General features: G+C 41.5%; 1 protein-coding gene across 34 annotated transcripts in view; it reads left to right on the top strand.

The window, feature by feature from the left end:
- Positions 1-18567, top strand: part of SRPK2 (SRSF protein kinase 2) — a 284618-nt gene that overhangs the window by 233414 nt on the left and 32637 nt on the right. For all 34 annotated transcript variants that reach the window (XR_007060151.1, XR_007060150.1, XR_007060147.1 and 31 more), the window contains one exon: positions 5331-5437. Coding sequence is in view for 24 of the 34 variants with exons in the window: in XM_011516536.4 (XP_011514838.1) it covers positions 5331-5437 (107 nt within the window). In the remaining 10 variants the exon portion in view is untranslated. The remainder of the gene's footprint in view (positions 1-5330; positions 5438-18567) is intronic.

Genomic DNA, 18567 nt, shown 5'->3' with positions numbered 1-18567 from the left:
TCCTCCCGGTGGGTTCGTGGTCTCGCTGACTTCAGGAATGAAGCCACAGACCCTCATGGTGAGTGTTACAGCTCTTAAAGTTGGTGTGGACCCAAAAAGTGAGCAGCAACAAGATTTATTTTGAAGAGTGAAAGAACAAAGCTTCCACAGCATGGAAGGGGACCCAAGCAGGTTGCTGCTGCTGGTTCGGGTGGCCAGCTTTTATTCCCTCATTTGTCCGTGCCCACGTTGGAGAAATGGACCTGCCGATTGGTCCATTTTACAGAGTGCTGATTGGTGCATTTACAATCCTTTAGGTAGACACAGTGCTGATTAGTGTGTTTTTACAGATTGCTGATTGGTGCATTTACAATCCTTTAGACACAGACCACTGGTCAGTGCGTTTTTACAGAGTGCTGATTGGTGCATTTACAATCCTTTAGCTAGACACAGAGCACTGATTGGTGCATTTACAATCTTTAGATAGACACAGAGCACTGATTGGTGCATTTACAGTCCTCTAGCTAGACAGAAAAGTTTTCAAAGTCCCCACTCGACCCAGGAAGTCCAGCTGGCTTCACCTCTCACTAATACTAGTTATCTTTGGAAGTGTGTCTAGGAAGAAGACAAGCAAAGGTGTCCCTTGACTTTCCTTTCTTTTTTGAGAATATCAGTTTTGACCATGCTACTAAGTTATGTGGATGCTTGTTGGTTTTGATGGGGACTCAGGAGGAAGTGAATTAGGATTGTAGAAAGGGTTGGCATGTTATCCTTATCCTTCCTCTACCTGAGGAGTTGGCAAAGGGTAGCTCCAGGGAGAAGTGACAGAGAGCAAAGTATCCCAAAACCTGTAGCTCAGAGAAGAAAGCAAAAATGAAGAGAAGAGATGATGCCTTCAGTGTCATGAGTACTTTTTCTTTATGTGGGTGTTGGATCCTCTGAGATAGCCCTTTGTGTGCCTGGAGTAGGCAGTACTTTCATTTTCCAAGGTTCAAGAAAATCGGACCACTTTACTCAGAGGCACATGACTGATGGGTGCTAGGTTGTGTCAGTAGCTGTGGTCTTCTGGCTTCTTTCAGATTTTTTGCTCTTTATATCATGTTTGGAACAGATCCACCATTTTGATATTTTACTTTCACAAATGTCAGAAGCCTAAGGATAAGGCTTTTTCCCAGATTTAAACTCCAAAATGACATCCAGTTTATGCATCTACTAAGTCATGATCAACTAGGGAAGCATTTCCTTCACTCTATATATTTGAGAAGGTTTTTATACAAGGGAATGTCACCATGTTCATAGAAAAACTAGATTAAAAGACAAAAATAAAGAATATAAACTTTATTTCTCACATAAGTTTCATCAAGTTCAAGACACTTTTGTAAACAATCATATCAGCCATTTAGTTGCTCCCCAAAGAACCAGGGGTCTTAGGAATTTAACCATGTCAGTGAAATCTTTTTTACATTATTAACTGAAGAAAAATGGGTGCCCTTTTTAAGATTAAGAAACAAAAATTAGGAGTAGCCAAATAAGGATAATAAGGTGGATGTCTAATGAGTTTCCACTGAAACTCTTCACAAAATTGCCCTCGTTTGATGAGAGGAATGAACAGGAACATTTACATGGTGGAGAAGGACTCCTTGGTGAAGTTTTCTGAGGTATTTTCCTGCTAAAGCATTCACTGACTTTCTCAAAATTAGCTCTCATAATAAGCAGGTGTTATCATTCTTTGGTTCTCCATAAAGTCAACAAGCAAAATGCCTCAGCATCCCAAAAAACGGTTGCAGTGACCTTTCCTCTTCACTAGTTCACTAGTGCTTTGACTGGACCACTGCCACCTCTTGGTAGTTATTGCTTTGATTGTGCTTTGTCTTCAGGATCATACTGTAGAACCATGTTTTATGTCCTGTTACAGTCCTTTGAAGAAATGCCTCAGGATCTCGATCGTACCTGTTTAAAATTTCCGTTGAAAGCTCTGCTCTTGTCTTGATCTGGGAACAATGGTTTTGGCACCCATTGAGTGGAAAGTTTGCTCAACTTCAGTTTTCAATTGGAATTGCATAAGTTGAACCAGTCGTGAAGTCTGTGGTGTTGGCTGTTGTTTGTGCTGTCATCTGTCCTCTTCAATTAGGGTGCAAACTTTTTTTTTCTTTGAGATGGAATTTTGCTCTTGTTGCGCAGGCTGGAGTGCAATGGTGCAGTCACGGCTCAGCACAACCTCCGCCTCCCGGGTTCAAGAGATTCTCCTGCCTCAGCCTCCTGAGTAGCTGGGATTACAGGCATGTGCCACCACGCCCAGCTAATTTTGTATTTATTTTTTATTTTTTATTTTTTTAGAGACGGGATTTCTCCATGTGGGTCAGGCTGGTCTCGAATTCCCGACCTCAGGTGATCTGCCCGCCTCAGCTTCCCAAAGTGCTGGGATTACAGGTGTGAGCCACCATGCCCGGCCGCAAACTTTTTTTCCACACAAATTGATGCAAATGGTCTGCCGCTGCAGGCTTCATCTTCAACATTATCTCATCCCTTCTTAAAACCGGTTATTCATTTGTAAACTGCCGATTTATTTGCGGTATTGTCCCCTTAAACTTACCATAAAGCATCAGTGATTTCACCATTTTTTCACCCAAGCTTCATCATAAATTTGATGTTTGTTATTGCTTTGATTTTAGAATTCATGTTGCTCTGTTAGAGGCTTTTTTCAAACTGATGTCTTATCTTGCGAGTGCCTCAAACTAGATCCTGTTCAGATACTTTAACAAACTAGTATGAGTTTATTTTGGTGCAAAAAAATTTTTGAAATCTATGCATAGTGTTTTCAAAATACACATTTTCCATAGACTTTTTGAAAATCCCTCATATTTCTTTTAGAAATTCATCTTGAGTATACTAGGAAGTACCAGTGGCTGCTAATGTTACCTCGTCCTTTTTCTCCAGTTAATTTCTGCTAACTGCTGAGTATATTTTTCCCTTTGGATAGATAAATCAGTAAGCAGATAGCGGCAGAGCACTCACTTCTTCTGTGTCCGACTTGCAAGGTCCTTCTTGGGACAGCTAATAGAACATTTCTTTGGAGAAACTACTTAATCCGTGGGTAAATAGAGGTTTTTGAAATATACGTTCTAGTGGGTATTTTTACTGTTAAGCAAAATGCGAAGTAATCATCATATCCAGATATGCCAGTGCTTTGAGAAGACTTAGGTTATGTTTGGGATATCCTGGGCCTCGCCCTATGCCTGCTGCTAAATGTAGTCCTTAAATAATCTGCCGTTTTTGTAATGAGCCTGGGAAATAGTAAGAAACTTCTGGCTTTAGATTATCTGCGCATAAATCTGTAGTGCTTACATTCTTAAACAGTATAGAAAGATTTTTCTTTTTTTCACTAAAAATATTTAAAATAATATTGTTTTAATATAGCATATTCAGTTATTATAGTTGATTAAATCAACTACTTTTTTTGATTCTAAAGTCAAATGTAAGCCTCCAGGGATGAATAAAATGTTCTCAAAGGGTTTCAGAGCCATTTGTAATCTTCCTGTATGAATGACATGAATATATAATGAAATTGGAGGTATCATAGTTGTGAAGGCTGAAATACCTATTTTAAAAAAAAATTAAGTTGGGGCCAGGTGTGGTGGCTCATGCCTGTAATCCCAGCACTTTGGGAGACCAAGGTGTGTGGATCACTTGAGATTAGGAGTTTGAGACCAGCCTGGCCAACATGGTGAAACCCTGTCTCTACTAAAACTGGAAAAATCAACTGGGCATAGTGGCACACGCCTGTAATCCCAGCTATTTGGGAGGCCGAGGTAGGAGAATCGCTTGAACCCAGGAGGTGGAGGTTGCAGTGAGCTGAGATCGTGCCACTGCACTCCAGCCTGGGTGACAGAACAAGACTGTGTCTCAAAAAAAAATTAAGCTGGGCATGGTGGTTTTCACCTGTAGTACTGACTACTTGGGAATCTAAGGCAAGAGAGTATCTTTAGCCCAGGAGTTCTAGTCCACCTGGCACAGCGTAGTGAGACCCTGTCTTTTTTAAGAAAAGAAAATCCAGATTCCTGAGATGTTGTTACTATAGATTAAGTCTTAATACCATGTCTTAAATGGTGATCATACATTCTTAACACCTGCCTATAGTATTAAAATTGATCTAGTTGTATAATGTAAGATATTATTCAAGGAAAAGATTAAATAGGTCTTAACTGTGTTTACTAAATTTTTATTTTATAATGTGTTTTATGTAGCTTATCAAGTAGAAATTTAGGCAGGCAGTTAGGACACTTGAGATACTGGAGCTCTGTATTTGTTTCATGTCAGTTCCTAGGAGGTTTCAGTCTTGCCTGTTTCATCAGGCTGATTTCCAGGGAGTGTGCTGAGATGGGTGAGAGTGCAGCTCAGTGTAGGCTTGAGTAGTGGCTCAGCCACCTGGCACTTTCTAAGTGCACTCTACACCTAGAAAGTGCCATGTCCTCATGCCTACAGTGGGGTTAATTACATTATTGCCTAAGGTTGTTTGGAGTACACGTGAAATAATATATGGCACAGAGTAAGTACACTTAGCCCTTTTTTATCTGCTGGTTCCCCATTCATAGATTTAATAAACGTTGGATGAAAAATATTTGGGAAACACCAGTAAAAAGTAGTAGAAATTAAGAAATAGAGTATAACAACTATTTACATAGCATATACATTGTATTAGGTATTATAAGTAATCTAGACATGATTTAAATAAAGTATATGGGCTGGGCACGGTGGCTCATGCCTGTAATCCCAGCACTTTGGGAGCCCAAGGCGGGTGGATCATGAGGTCAGGAGATCGAGACCATCCTGGCTAACATGGTGAAACCCTGTCTCTACTAAAATTACAAAAAATTAGCCGAGCGTGGTGGCGGGCACCTGTAGTTTCAGCTGCTCGGGAGGCTGAGGCAGGAGAATGGTGTGAACCCAGAAAGCAGAGCTTGCAGTGAGCCAAGATCACACCACTGCACTCCTGGGCGACAGAGCAAGACTCCGTCTCAAAAAAAAATAAAAATAAAGTATATGGAAGGATGTGAATAGGTTATGTATATACTACACCAGTTTACTGAAGAGGCGAGCATATGTACATTTTGGTATCTGAGAGCGGTCCTGGAACCAATCTCCTGAGATACTGGGAAACACCTGTATTTAGTAATGTCAGTTCTTGTTATTTAAGTGAGATACAACATTTTCTCACTTTTGGTATTACTGATAGGGTTGATGTTGTATTTTATAAAGTAATAAGTGCTTTGCAAGTGACACAATGGTGCTGCTTTCAATAACTGCCTCACTCCAGGCAGTGCATCCACAAACGATCCTTAACTGTGTCCCAGATGTCTGCATGGTCTTCGAAGTACTTGGCCACCATCTCCTCAAGTGGATCATCAAATCCAACTATCAAGGCCTCCCAGTACGTTGTGTGAAGAGTATCATTCGACAGGTGAGACTTTTGACGGCAGCCCCTAGGCCCTAGTACCTAATTGGTTAGGCTTTCAACATGAATGCTGTTTACAAATATGTATATGTATTACATATGTATCAGTGCATAATGTATATATGTTATGTATGTTACATATGTATCAGTGCATAACATTTTGAACTCTTATTAAGTCAGTATTTAATGATATTTTGTGTTGTGAAGGGAACAACATGTAATTGTCAGGCATACGTTTTTTGCCTGTCGTTTTTTTTTTTAAGGTATGTGACATGGTACAATTACATTGTTTTTGTTCAGTATCTACTATAAAACATCCACTTAGTTCATTAGGAAGTAATTTAGAAGAAATAACTTACTGGGTTTATTTACTAAGTATCCTTGGATGGAGATTAAATAATAGATAATTGAAGAGTTGTGTACAAAGTTTCAGTTATAACGTGGTTAAATTCTGCAGATCTAATAGACAGTATGATGACTATAGTTAACATTATTGTGTACTTGGAATTTGTTAACAGAGTAGACTTGAATGTTCTCATCATGTACACACACACAGAGTCTATATGTCATACTGGGTTAGGTTAATTAGCTGTTTTGTGCTAATCATTTCACAGTGTACACATATTTCAAGACATGTACACTACTAATATATTCAGTTTTTATTGTCAGTTGTACCTCAGTAAAGCTGGGGAAAAAAATGGAAATGTTTAACTCATATAGAAATTACTGTATTAGATGTGTGTTTTGTTCAGTTGCCCTGCCAGAAGAAAACCCTCAGCTAGGGTCAGGCTTAGAGATGATGCTCTAGTAAACATCTGTAGAATGAAAGTATGCGTAGATGGAAGAACTCCTCCTAATTAGCAGTGTTTGCCCATTCCAGTGTTCTGCATGGAATCAGTATGTATTCTACTCATTGCCTGTAAAAAGTTTGAAGTTTAAATTTGTGTAGTAAAAGCATCTTTGATATTTCTGTTGAATTTGTGTGCAGATAACTTTGTTTAGCCTGCCTGTGTGTTCATCTCTTCTTCCTTTTGTACGGTTTTTTTTTTTTTTTTTTTTTTTTTGGAGACGGAGTCTCGCTCTGTCACCCAGGCTGGAGTGAAGTGGTGCAATCTCAGCTCATTGCAGCCTCCTGAGCAGCTGGGACTATAGGTGCTTGGTACCACACCCAGCTAATTTTTGTATTTTTAGTAGAGACAGGGTTTCACCGTGTTGCCCAGGGTGGTCTCAAACTCCTAAGCTCAGGCAGTCTGCCTGCCTCTGCCTTCCAAAGTGCTGGGATTACAGGTGTGAACCACTGCACCCAGCCTTGTATGGAAAATTGGCAGCTTATTCTGTAACATGACAGATGTTACTTGAGAAGAGGGGCTGGAGAGGGAAAAGTTCACTACATTGTCTTCTATATCAGTTGAATTGAGGTGTTTCTATGTAGTATTATGCTAGGTATACATGTGGGCCTAGATTTATGGCTAACTTTTGTTCAGTACTGTATCTGTTTGCCCTTAGCTTTCAAATAGTAGCATTTTTATTCATTATTTCGACAGGCTGATATCTCAAATGAACAACTTTAATGTAGAAGAGGTTATGTGGTGAGGGCAGAAATTAGTATGTTAAGTGGAATTATTTGATCCCCAAATAAGACTAGTGTATTATTTGTAACATTTAGCAGCAACTCTAAAGTCTTTAAAAAAAAAAAAAAACACAAAAAAACACAAAAAAATAAAACCATATTGTTAAAACTTGGGAAGAATCTCCTAATTATTTTTGATAAATCTTGAAAATATTAAAGGAATTACACATTCTAACAAATACTGAATAATTTCAGAAATAGCTGCCTGCATGTATTTCCCGCAGGCTCCATCATTTCCCAGAACCTCATGCTTTCAGAGGGGCTTGCTGTTGCCTTAAGTGACTGACCACACCACCACCCTTTAGGCTTAGTGTGTAAGAAGGTGAATTTGGCCAGGCGCAGTGGCTCACGCTTGTAATCCCAGCACTTTGGGCGGCCAAGGCGGGTGGATCACGAGGTCAGGAGATTGAGACCAGCCTGGCCAGCATGGTGAAACCCCATCTCTACTAAAAACACAAAAATTAGCCAGGCGTGGTGGCACACGCCTGTAATCCCAGCTACTCTGCCAGCTGAGGCAGGAGAATTACTTGAACCCGGGAGGTGGAGGTTGCAGTGAGCTGAGATCATGCCACTGCACTCCAGCCTGGGCAACAGAACAAGACTCCATCTCAGGGAAAAAAAAAAAAAGGTGAATTCACAGATGAGCCATTGACATTTATTTTATCTTCTAGAGAAGAAAATATAGCCTTAGCAAGTTGAAGGAGTCTGTAAGTTGAAAGATGAAAATCTGAGGTTCAGTGGAACCTCAGTGCATCCTTGTTGAATGAACCGAAGATTAAATAAGTTAACCTGTGTTCTTCATTTTGTTTTTGTTTTTTGAGACAGGGTCTTCCTCTGTTACCCAGGCTGGAGTGCACTGGTCAGTCACAGCTCACTGCAGCCTTGGCCTCCTGGGCTCTAGTGATCCTCCCACCTCAGCCTCCCTAGTAGCTGGGACTGCAGGCATGCACCACCGTGCTAGCTAATTTTTATTTTTTTGTAGAGACGGGGTCTCACTGTGTTGCTCAGGCTGGTCTCTTTGTCTCCTGGACTCAAGCAGTCTTCCCATCTCAGCCTCCCAAAGTTGCTAGGATTATACCACACCTGGCCAATGCGTGTGTTATCCTCACTGTAATTCATGTACCCTGTTTTTGGTGGAAACTTAGAAAGAGCTCTTATATTATTTCTTTAGTTCAGAGAAATTCAAGCTGAAAATTTGATTGTGTCATGTGGTCTGCACTTTGTTCTTATATGCAGTGTTAATGGAATTTTGGTTTGGTTTTGGTTTTGTGTGTGTGAACCCATCTTTCTTTAAGAAAAATATTATCATGGAATCTGGATTTTTTCCCCCTAAGCTTACGCAGAACTTTCAGTGTAGTAAGTTGTTCAAGAAATTACATACTCCAGTTAATAATCTACTTACCTGAGGTTTCCCTTCAACCCCTTTGATTCAGCCTATGTTTTCAGTATTTCTTTCTCCCGGGTAGTACTAGGAAGATTTTTTATTGCAGACTGACACAGTTATATCATTTCCCAGAACAAGCCAGAGCAGACCAATTTTCTTAGTATTTTCTTAGTATCCTTTCACTGTAGACCTTCTTCTTAAGAGTCATGGATAACCGACCATGTTCCAGTCATTCTCCTTACTCTATCACTTGCTGTGCTTCCCCAGGAACCCGCCTGTTGAACTCTCCTTTGCCATGTCTTTTACTCTTGATGTTCTTTGTATTTCTGTTGCTGTCCTCTTTAGTTCAGGCCCTTATCACCTCCAGCTAGTACCTTTTCACAGGCTTTTCTTGGCTCTCTGTGCATACAGCCCATCCAATTCCCGGTCCCTTTTCCAGTTTATTCTCCTTTCTATTGCAAGTAAAACCTTGCTTTAATGACTCATATTCCCATTTAGAATTCTTTAGTGGCTTCCCATTGCCTGTTTGCTGAAGCTTTATGTTCTTGGCCTTCATGAAGCAATATATGGAGTTGTTAAGAGCTTGGGTTTGGCATCAAATATACCCTACATTCACCAAAGGGCTTTGGCCAAGTTACCTAACTTCTGCAAACCACAATTTCATCATCAATAAAAGTGGGGAAAATAATGATACCAGCCAGGCGTGGTGGCTCATGCCTGTAATCCCAGCACTTTGGAAGGTTGAGGTGGGAGGATTTCTTGAGACCAGGAGTTCAAGACCAACCTGGGCAACATCGCAAGACCGTGTCTCTACCAAACAAAATTTAAAAATTAGCCAGGTATGATGGCATGCACCTGTGGTCCCAGCTACCTGGGAGGCTGAGGTCGGAGGATCACTTGAGCCCAAGGGGTCAAGGCTGCAGTGAGCCATGATGGTGCCACTGCACTCTAGCCTGTGTGACAGAACAAGACTGTCTCTTTAAAAACAAAAAACAAACAAAAATGATACCTTCCTCATTAGTTTATTGTAAAGATGTAATGAGAGATAGTAATGCTAATAGTAGCAAATAGTTAATTCAGTGCTTACTATGTGCCAGGTATAATTTGAGTACTTTGCATAGTTGAGTTCCTCACAATAACCCTGTGAAATGGGTATTATTACTTTCCTGATTTCATCAAGAGGAAACAGAAGCCCAGAGAGGTTAAGTAACTTGCCCCTAGTTAGGAAGTCGCTTAAAAAGTGCTAAGTGGTGAAGCAGGAATTCAAACCCAGATAGTCTGGCTTCAGAGCTCATGGGTTTACCATTTTGGCCGTTATATAATGGGTTTTATATAATAAACTTATTATGAGCCTGTAATAAGTTTGGAATTGTACTGGGCCTATGTCCAGTAGAAGTTAAGTCACTTTCTGGGAACCTGTTTAAGATTTTCTATCATCTGGTGTCAGCCTGTATTTCCCCTTGCAGACAAAAAGTGATGTCCCTCAGGTACCCTATTTCCCTCTGGAATCTACCAGCTTACGTTTTTTATGAATGTTCAAAGATGTCCCAAACATTTATAATGTGCAGATTTACCAGAATTTTCATTCATGAATGTTTACTGGTTTTATTTTGTAGGTAGTTTAGAGAAAGTACTCACTGGTAATCATCTTGACCCCTAAGGGCACCTTTCCGTTTTTTATCTCCACATCTTTGATCATCTCTTTTGTTCTAGGCTGCCAGAAATGCCATCCTTGTCTACCCACATTTTTAAGACTCAACGAAAATCCCACCATTGTGACAAAGGCTTCTCACAGTACCCAATTAAGAGGATGCCTTCCCTTCTTGAAATGCCTTCAGCTCACATTTGGTCCCATAACTACGTGTAGGCCCCATCTCAACCCTAGGGCTGCTGGCACTTCAGACCAGATAGGATGTTTAGCAGCGTCCCTGGCATCTACCCCTCAGAGCCAGTATCAGCTGTCACCATCCCTGATTGTGGCAATTAGAAATATCTCTGAACTTTGCCAGTTTTCCTCTCACTGAGAACCACTGGGATAAGAGAAAGTGTAAGGTGTATTGTGCTTTGGTGACAGACTTGATTTAACATCATAGCTTTGGCACTTCTATCTTGTACTCCTGATCAGTTACTTAGCCTCTGTGAGTCTGTTTCCTCATTTGTAAACTCGAAATAGTAATGCATAATTTGTAGTTTGATTGTGGAGATTAAGAATAAGGGGGCTGGGTGCAGTGGCTCACGCCTGTAATCCCTGCACTTTGGGAGGTTGAGGTGGGTGTATCACCTGAAGTCAGGAGTTCAAGACCAGCCTGGCCAACATAGTGAAACCTTGTCTCTACTAAAAATATAAAAAATTAGCTGGGAGTGGTGGCACATACATATAGTTCCAGCTACTTGGGAGGCTGCGGCAAGAGAATCACTTGGACTTGGGAGGCGGAGGCTGCAGTGAGCCGAGATCGTGCCATTGCACTCCAGCCTGGGTGACAATAGCGAAATTCTGACTCAAACAGACAAACAAGAATAAGGGTGGGCCAGGTGCGGTGGCTCACACCTGTAATCCCAGCACTTTGGGAGGCCAAGGCGGGCAGATCATGAGGTCAGGAGTTCTAGACCAGCCTGACCAATATGGTGAAACCCCATCTCTACTAAAAATACAAAAATTAGCTGGGTGTGGTGGCACGTGCTTGTAGTCCCAGCTACTCGGGAGGCTGAGGCAGGAATTGCTTGAACCCAGGATACGGAGGTTGCAGTGAGCCGAGATTGTGTCACTGCTGCTCTTCAGCCTGGGTGACAGACTCTGTCTCCAAACAAACAAAAAAAGTATAGCCATTAGATTTTATGAAGTAGATATTATAATATGTAACCAGATGAGACCTTTAAAACCCAATGTTTTTCCAGACTTCTCCCTTTGGGGTGCAACCCTCTAGTATGCCGAGAGCCACGGTGGTGCCCCGCAGGTCCTCTCACCTGTATCATTGGCTGATTTTGTCTCTCTACACTTAGTATTTATTTACCATTGTAATTCTTTCAGTGGCCCTGTTTATCAGTAAATTTTGTTATGACTGAACCAGTATTGTTCAAGTTCAGACCAGAAGCTTTCATGTCAATTTGGTAAACATTTTGATATTACTGGGTTTGTTCAGCATGGTAGTGCACACGATGCTGTATTGACTTGGAATTCTCCTCAGGATGTTGAGCCCTTGACTCAGGAAATGTGGTGAGGTGGCTCTGTTTCAAGGGACTAAGCTGCTTTCCTGAGCCATTGCTTTGTGCAGTCCCAGTGCTGGGCACAGCAGCTTTAACTTTCTTCCTGATGACATTCAGAAGTACAGCTGCTGGCTTTTCTCATTAATTCTCACCAGTTAGAGATGAAAGAAAAAGGAGCAGAGGCTATTTCAGGACAATGTGGGTAAGGACGCCGTCCCCTGGATTTTTGGTTTGAGCGTGTCTCTGGCTCTTGTCCTCTTTTATTGTTAACAGGTATTTCCAAGCTCCTCCATTGAGTTTAACATCTTGGTTTTCACAGGCAGTTGGTGGGACCTGCCTTGTGTGTTTCACTGTGGAAGGGAAATCTAGTGGAACCCTCAGTGTTTCCAGCAGGAAACTTCTAGGCTTGCGGAGAACCCCTCTGGTGTCCCGCACGCCCACAAGTAATTAATATTCTCAATGAAGAACTCCTGCTTGGGGTCGCCTCCTTCCTCTGCCAGCCCATCTGGCTGCCCACGTGGGTTTCTCTGGGTGCTTCATTAGGTTCTGTTACCCACAGAGTAGGAGGAGACAGAGTCTCCCTGCTCTGTGTCCTTTGTTCAGGTGTGGGAGGAAGAAAGTCCACCGCTTATCACCAGTAGCAGAGCATAATTTGGAAAGTTGCTCTCATTCTATTTCTTTTTACAGTTCAGAATTTTGGGGGAAGCTTTGCACTCTGGGCTGTGAGCAAGGCCAGGGAGACAGTCTTTAGAGGAGTCTCCACATTATGCTTGACTGTTCCCCGACTTATCTACAAGATTACAGGACCTATTTCAATCAAGTTGTGGTGGAGAGGAGCAGATTTGTGTTGCGAAGACCAGTAATAGATGGTATCTGACACAAATGTTGATGTACAGAAAGCAAGCTTTGAGACCATTTTAACCAAGCCCCTTATTTTGAAGATGAATTTGAGGTTCAAGGAAAAGAAGGAACTTTCTCTGAACCTGTAGCTAGTTAATTTGGAATGGGACTCGGGGCTTCTAGCTCCCAGCCCTAGACTTAGCCTTCTTTTCCGCACTGCTGCTGAACTCAAAGTCTGACTTTACCCAGAGAAACCTGGCACTTGTTCCTCATGTGTGTGAAATGGCTCCCTGAGTGGGATGATTGAGAGTCACGTCCCTGGCTCGTCTGGGCTTAGGTTGATCTCAGCTTCCCTGGCAGCCAAAGGATCTCTGCTGCCTCCTGCTGCTAGCACCAAGTATTAAGGTTTTTTGTTTGTTTTTGAGACGGAATCTTGCTCTGTCACCAGGCTGGAGTGCAGTGGCGCGATCTCGGCTCACTGCAACCTCCGCCTCCTGAGTTCAAGCAATTCTTGTGCCTCAGACTCCTGAATAGCTGGGATTACAGGCATGCACCACCACACCCAGCTAATTTTTGTATTTTTAGTAGAGATGGGGTTTCACCATGTTGGCCAGGATGGTCTGGATCTCCTGACCTTGTGATCCGCCCATTTCGGCCTCCCAAAGTGCTGGGATTACAGGCGTGAGTCACCGCGCCCAGCCGTATTAAGGTTTTTAGGCAAGAAAGATGAACATACTGTGATTTGACAAGTAAAAGCAACAGAGGAAAGAATTAGTAAAGACTTAACTCTGTCAGATTTTGCAAGGGGAGATCTATCCATGGGGATGAAACATGATTCCTTTTGGTTTGTGTTTTTGTTTTTCCCATTGTCACAGTTATCCTGTATAAATAATTGTAGGAGTTCTCGTCAATGTTGGTTGATTCTGGGGTGCATTATTACTTAAAACTTCACTGGAAAGACAAATGTTATTTTTGAAAATAAAACCATTTAAAAATAGTAGTTCTGGCCAGGCATGGTGGCTCACGCCTGTAATCCTAGCACTTTGGGAGGCCGAAATGTGTAGATCACCTGAGGTCAGGAGTTTGAGACCAGCCTGGCCAACATGGCGAAAACCCCGTCTCTACTAAAATACAAAAAGTAGCTGGGCATGGTGACATGTGCCTGTAATCCCAGCTACTAGGGAGGCTGAGGCAGGAGAATTGCTTGAACCCAGTAGGTGGAGGTTGCAGTGAGCCAAGATCGTGCCACTGCACTCCAGCCTGGGTGATAGAGTGAGACTCCATCTCAAAAAAAGAAAAAAGTAGTTCAAAATTAAATTATGGAATCAAAGTTTTGTTGCTGGGATGTACCATACGGGTTATCAAGTATAGTCCTTTTATATTAGAAATGGAAACAACTGAGACCCAGATAATTTTTTTTTTTTTTTTTTTGAGACAGAACCTCACTCTGTTGCCCATACTGGAGTGTGGTGACACGATCTCAGCTCACTGCAACCACCGCTTTCTGGGTTCAAGTGATTCTCCTGCCTCAACCTCCTGAGTAGCAGCGATTACAGGCATGCACCACCATGCCTGGCTTATTTTTGTATTTTTAGTAGAGAGGGGGTTTCACCGTGTTGGCCAGGCTGGTCTTGAACTCCAGACCTCAGGTGATCCACCTGCCTTGACCTCCCAAAGTGCTGGGATTACAGGTGTGAGCCATCGTGCCAGCCAACCCAGAGAACTTTAATAAGTGACTTAGGAAGCTGGATGTGGTGGCTCACACCTGTAATCCCAGCCACTTGGGAGGCTGAAGCAAGAGGATCACTTGAGGCCAGAAGCTTGAGGCTTCAGTGTGCTTTACTTACACCTCTGAATAGCCACTGCACTCCAGCCTGGGAACATAGCGGGATCCCATCTCTAAAAAGAAATTAATTTTTAAAAAGTGATGAAAAATCATAATTCAATAAGTCAATATCAGTACAAGTCTTCTGACTTAGATACGTTTTACCATTTAAGTTTCTTGTGTGCTAGACTTTGTTTTTGTGAGTTTTCCGTAGATTATTTCTAAAGCTTATTGCTACATTTGTGTGTAACAGGTGTTTCCCCCTCCCATAGATGAGAATGAAAGCTCAAACAGCTTAAACAGCTTGCCCAGGGGTAACACAATGAGTAAATGGTTGAGCAGTAATTTAAGAGCAGTCTGAATCCAAGGTCATGTTTTTAACGCTGCCCTGTTGCCATTTCCTTTAATGGTTTCAATTATCTTAACTAACTTTATTTGTCCCAGTGGCAAAGTATTTTTCTTGTGTTTATTGCCCATTGCTGTTTTAGGAAAGTTAGCCTAGTTGAGTGCAATAGCCAATTTTTTTTAAAAAAAATCTGGAACTTTAAGTTTTTACTGAGATCACTTCTTGCTTGTCATGAGGTGCATCATTGTCATTGGGACCTCATGTGAACACATTTGCACACTGAGGCACATTAACTCTTAACTGTGCAGCCTCCCGCACAGTGAATCAACCTTTGAACTGTGAAAGAAGCCAAGGTGGAAAGATAGGACAACTCTCGTGCATGAGAAAATGGTCAAATATATTTTAGGAAAGAAAGATACTGACATTTTTACCTTGAGATAGTATTTGATACCGAAATACAATTTTAGTTGGAAAACGATTTTTCAAAAATCGTATTCCTTTGACCTCTATGGGCTGGACATCATCAATGTGCCTATCCATTAATTTCTTGTACTTTTCAGAATCTCTTTTGTTGTTCAGATATAGAACTCCACATATTATTCAGTTTGCACCAGGAAGATGCATGAATGTCGTTGAATAACATGAGCCCATTGGATTGTGTTTCCTTCAAAAGTATAACCATGTTCTCCATGGAAATATTTTACATCATGTTATCTTTCTTACTATTGGTCCTTTGACATTTTATTTGCTTTTTTTCTTTTTTCCTTTTAGACAGAGTTTTATTCTGTCGCCTAGGTTGGAGTGCAGTGCCATGATCTCAGCTCACTGTGACCTCCGCCTTGTGCCTCAGCCTCTTGAGTAGCTGGGATTACAGGCGTGTGCTACCTTGCCTGTGCCACTATGCCTGTGCAGTTTTTTTGTGTTTTTAGTAGAGACAGGGTTTCGCCATGTTGGCCAGGCTGGTCTCGCACTCCTGGCCTCAAGTGATCTGCCTGCCTCGGCTTCCCGAAGGGCTGGGATTACAAGGCAAGGCTGAGCCCGGCCTTGACATTTTAAATGTAATTTAAACATATCCTAATTGCAGTATTATCCAAAACAGTAAATATTCTAAGGCAAAAAATGTCTTAAAATCTTATCCTAGTTTTATCTACTTCACTGGTACTTACTAGGAACTTGTCAGTATCTTATTAAATCATATTTGCCATGCCCATGATTCATCTTGGTTTTTTTTTTGGCCAATTACCCCACCCGTCATACTCATTTCCTGTCCTGAATTGGTAACCTCTGTGAGGATATGAGGACTGTAAGCAACATGAAGCCTGGGAGCTTTTATATATCAAACACCTGGAATAATGGCATGTGATAGGAGCTCAGGCGATGCACATTCAGTGAATTTATGTAAAAATACTCTGTAAGGTAAAGTTGTTTTAAATGTTTGTAGGGATTTTGATCGTTTTTAAGAGGTATTCCTGTTTTCATTTTCCTTGTAAAATCTTTGTTCCCTCTCACTTCATAATGCTACTTTAACTTCTACTAACAGTAGGCTAACTACTAATAGCTTACTGTTGATCAGATGCCTTCCACTGTCGATTAAACTGGGAATATTTCAGTGTTGGATTGAAGGAGTGGCCTGCCCCTCCACACCTGTGGGTATTTCTAGTCGGGTGGGACGAGAGACTGAGAAAAGAAATAAGACACAGAGACAAAGTATAGAGAAACAACAGTGGGCCCAGGGGACTGGCGCCCAGCATACCAAGGACCTGCACCGGCACCGGTCTCTGAGTTCCCTCAGTTTTTATTGATTATTATCTTCATTATTTCAGCAAAAAGGAATGTAGTAGGAGGGCAGGGTGATAATAAGGAGAAGGTCAGCAACAAACACGTGAGCAATAGAATCTATGTCATAATTAAGTTCAAGGGAAGGTACTATGACTGGACGTGCACGTACACCAGATTTATGTTTCTCTCCACCCAAACATCTTAGTGGAGTAAAGAATAACAAGGCAGCATTACTGCAAACATGTCTCACCTCCCACCATAGGGCGGTTTTTCTCTCATCTGAGAATTGAACAAATGTATAATCGGGTTTTATACCGAGACATTCAGTTCCCAGGGGCAGGCAGGAGACAGTGGCCTTCCTCTATCTCAACTGCAAGAGGCTTTCCTCTTTTACTAATCCATCTCAGCACAGACCCTTTATGGGTGTTGGGCTGGGGGACGGTCAGGTCTTTCTCATCCCACGAGGCCATATTTCAGACTATCACATGGGGAGAAACCTTGGACAATACCCAGCTTTCAAGGGCAGAGGTCCCTGCAGCTTTCCACAGTGCATTGTGCCCCTGGTTTATTGAGACTAGAGAATGGCGATGACTTTTACCAAGTATACTGCTTGTAAACATTTTGTTAACAAGGCATGTCCTGCAGAGCCCTGGATCCCTTAAACCTTGATTTCATATAACACATGTTTTTGTGAGCTCCAGGTTGGGTCAAAGTGGCTGGAGCAAAGTGGCTGGGGCAAAGCTACAAATTAACAACATCTCAGCAAAGCAGTTGTTTAAAGTACAGGTCTTTTTCAAAATGGAGTCTCTTATGTCTTTCCTTTCTACATAGACACAGTAACAGTCGGATCTCTCTTTTCCCTACATTGGATGATGTGAAACATATAACACTTCCTGTCTCTTGTGAACAAAATGCCTATTCAATTCATTGTTTGAATGGTCATTGATGTAATATTTGCTTAACATTTGGAATTTCTAATGCTTATATGAGAACATGATCTGTTTTGTAAAAATAAATTTTGTTTATGGAAATAATTGAAAAAATTATTCTCCAGTGGAAATAATTATAGAAAAACACTGACCTTGTATTTAGGTCACTGACACTGTAAGTTTTTGATTGTTTTAATATGAGAAATATGAATATCTTGGTTCATCACTTTCTTTTAGTATAATGCTGTAGGGTTGTCTAGATACCAAGGCTATTTTCTATTTAAATCAAGCCCCCCTTCTCTTGCAGTGTTAAAAATGTATGGACATCATTAGCCATCAGGGAAATGTAGATCAAAACTACAACAAGATACTTCATATCCACTTGGGTGGATAAAGTAAAAAACGATAGTAAGTGTTGTTCAGGGCGAAGAATTGGAACCCTCATACATTGGTGATAGGAATGTAAAATGGTGCAGCCACTGTGGAAGACACTTTGGCAGTTCATCAAAAAGCTAAATATAGAGGCACCATATGACCTAAGTACGGTAACTCCTAGGTATATACCTCCCCTCAAAAAAAGTATGTTCACACAAAAATGTATACACGAGTGTGAATAGCAGTATTATTTTTATAGCCCCTAAAGTGAAAATAACCCAAATGTTCATGAGGTGAAGGGATAAACACAATGTTGTATCTCCATACAGTGGAATACTGTTTGCCAATAAGAATAAGCGAAGTACTAATACATGCTGCACAAGAGTCAAACTTGAAAACATTATGCCAGTTACAAAAAAATACTTTATATGATTCCATTTATAGGAAATGTCCAGAATCAGCAAGTAGATTAGTGGTTGCTAAGGGTTAGAAGGGGTAGGAGAGAGATGGGAAGTGAATGCTGATGAATATGTTGTTTCTTTTTGGAGCAATGAAAATGTTGTCATTTAAATAGTGGTGGTAGTTGCCGTGTGTGGTGGCTCACGCCTGTAATCCCAGTACTTTGGGAGGTCGAGACAGGTGGATCACAAGGTCAGGAGTTCGAGACCACTGGCCAATATGGTAAAACCCCGTCTCTACTAAAAATACAAAAAAAATTAGCCAGGCGTGGTGGCATACGCCTGTAATCCCAGCTGCTTGGGAGGCTGAGGCAGGAGAATTGCTTGAACCTGGGAGGCGGAGGTTGCAGTGAGCCAAGATTGTGC

Source organism: Homo sapiens, chromosome 7, assembly GCF_000001405.40.
Source record: "Homo sapiens chromosome 7, GRCh38.p14 Primary Assembly".
In the NCBI taxonomy this organism is placed as follows: Eukaryota; Metazoa; Chordata; class Mammalia; order Primates; family Hominidae; genus Homo; species Homo sapiens.
Note: the sequence above shows the minus strand (reverse complement) of the source record. Positions and strands in the feature narration are given on the sequence as shown.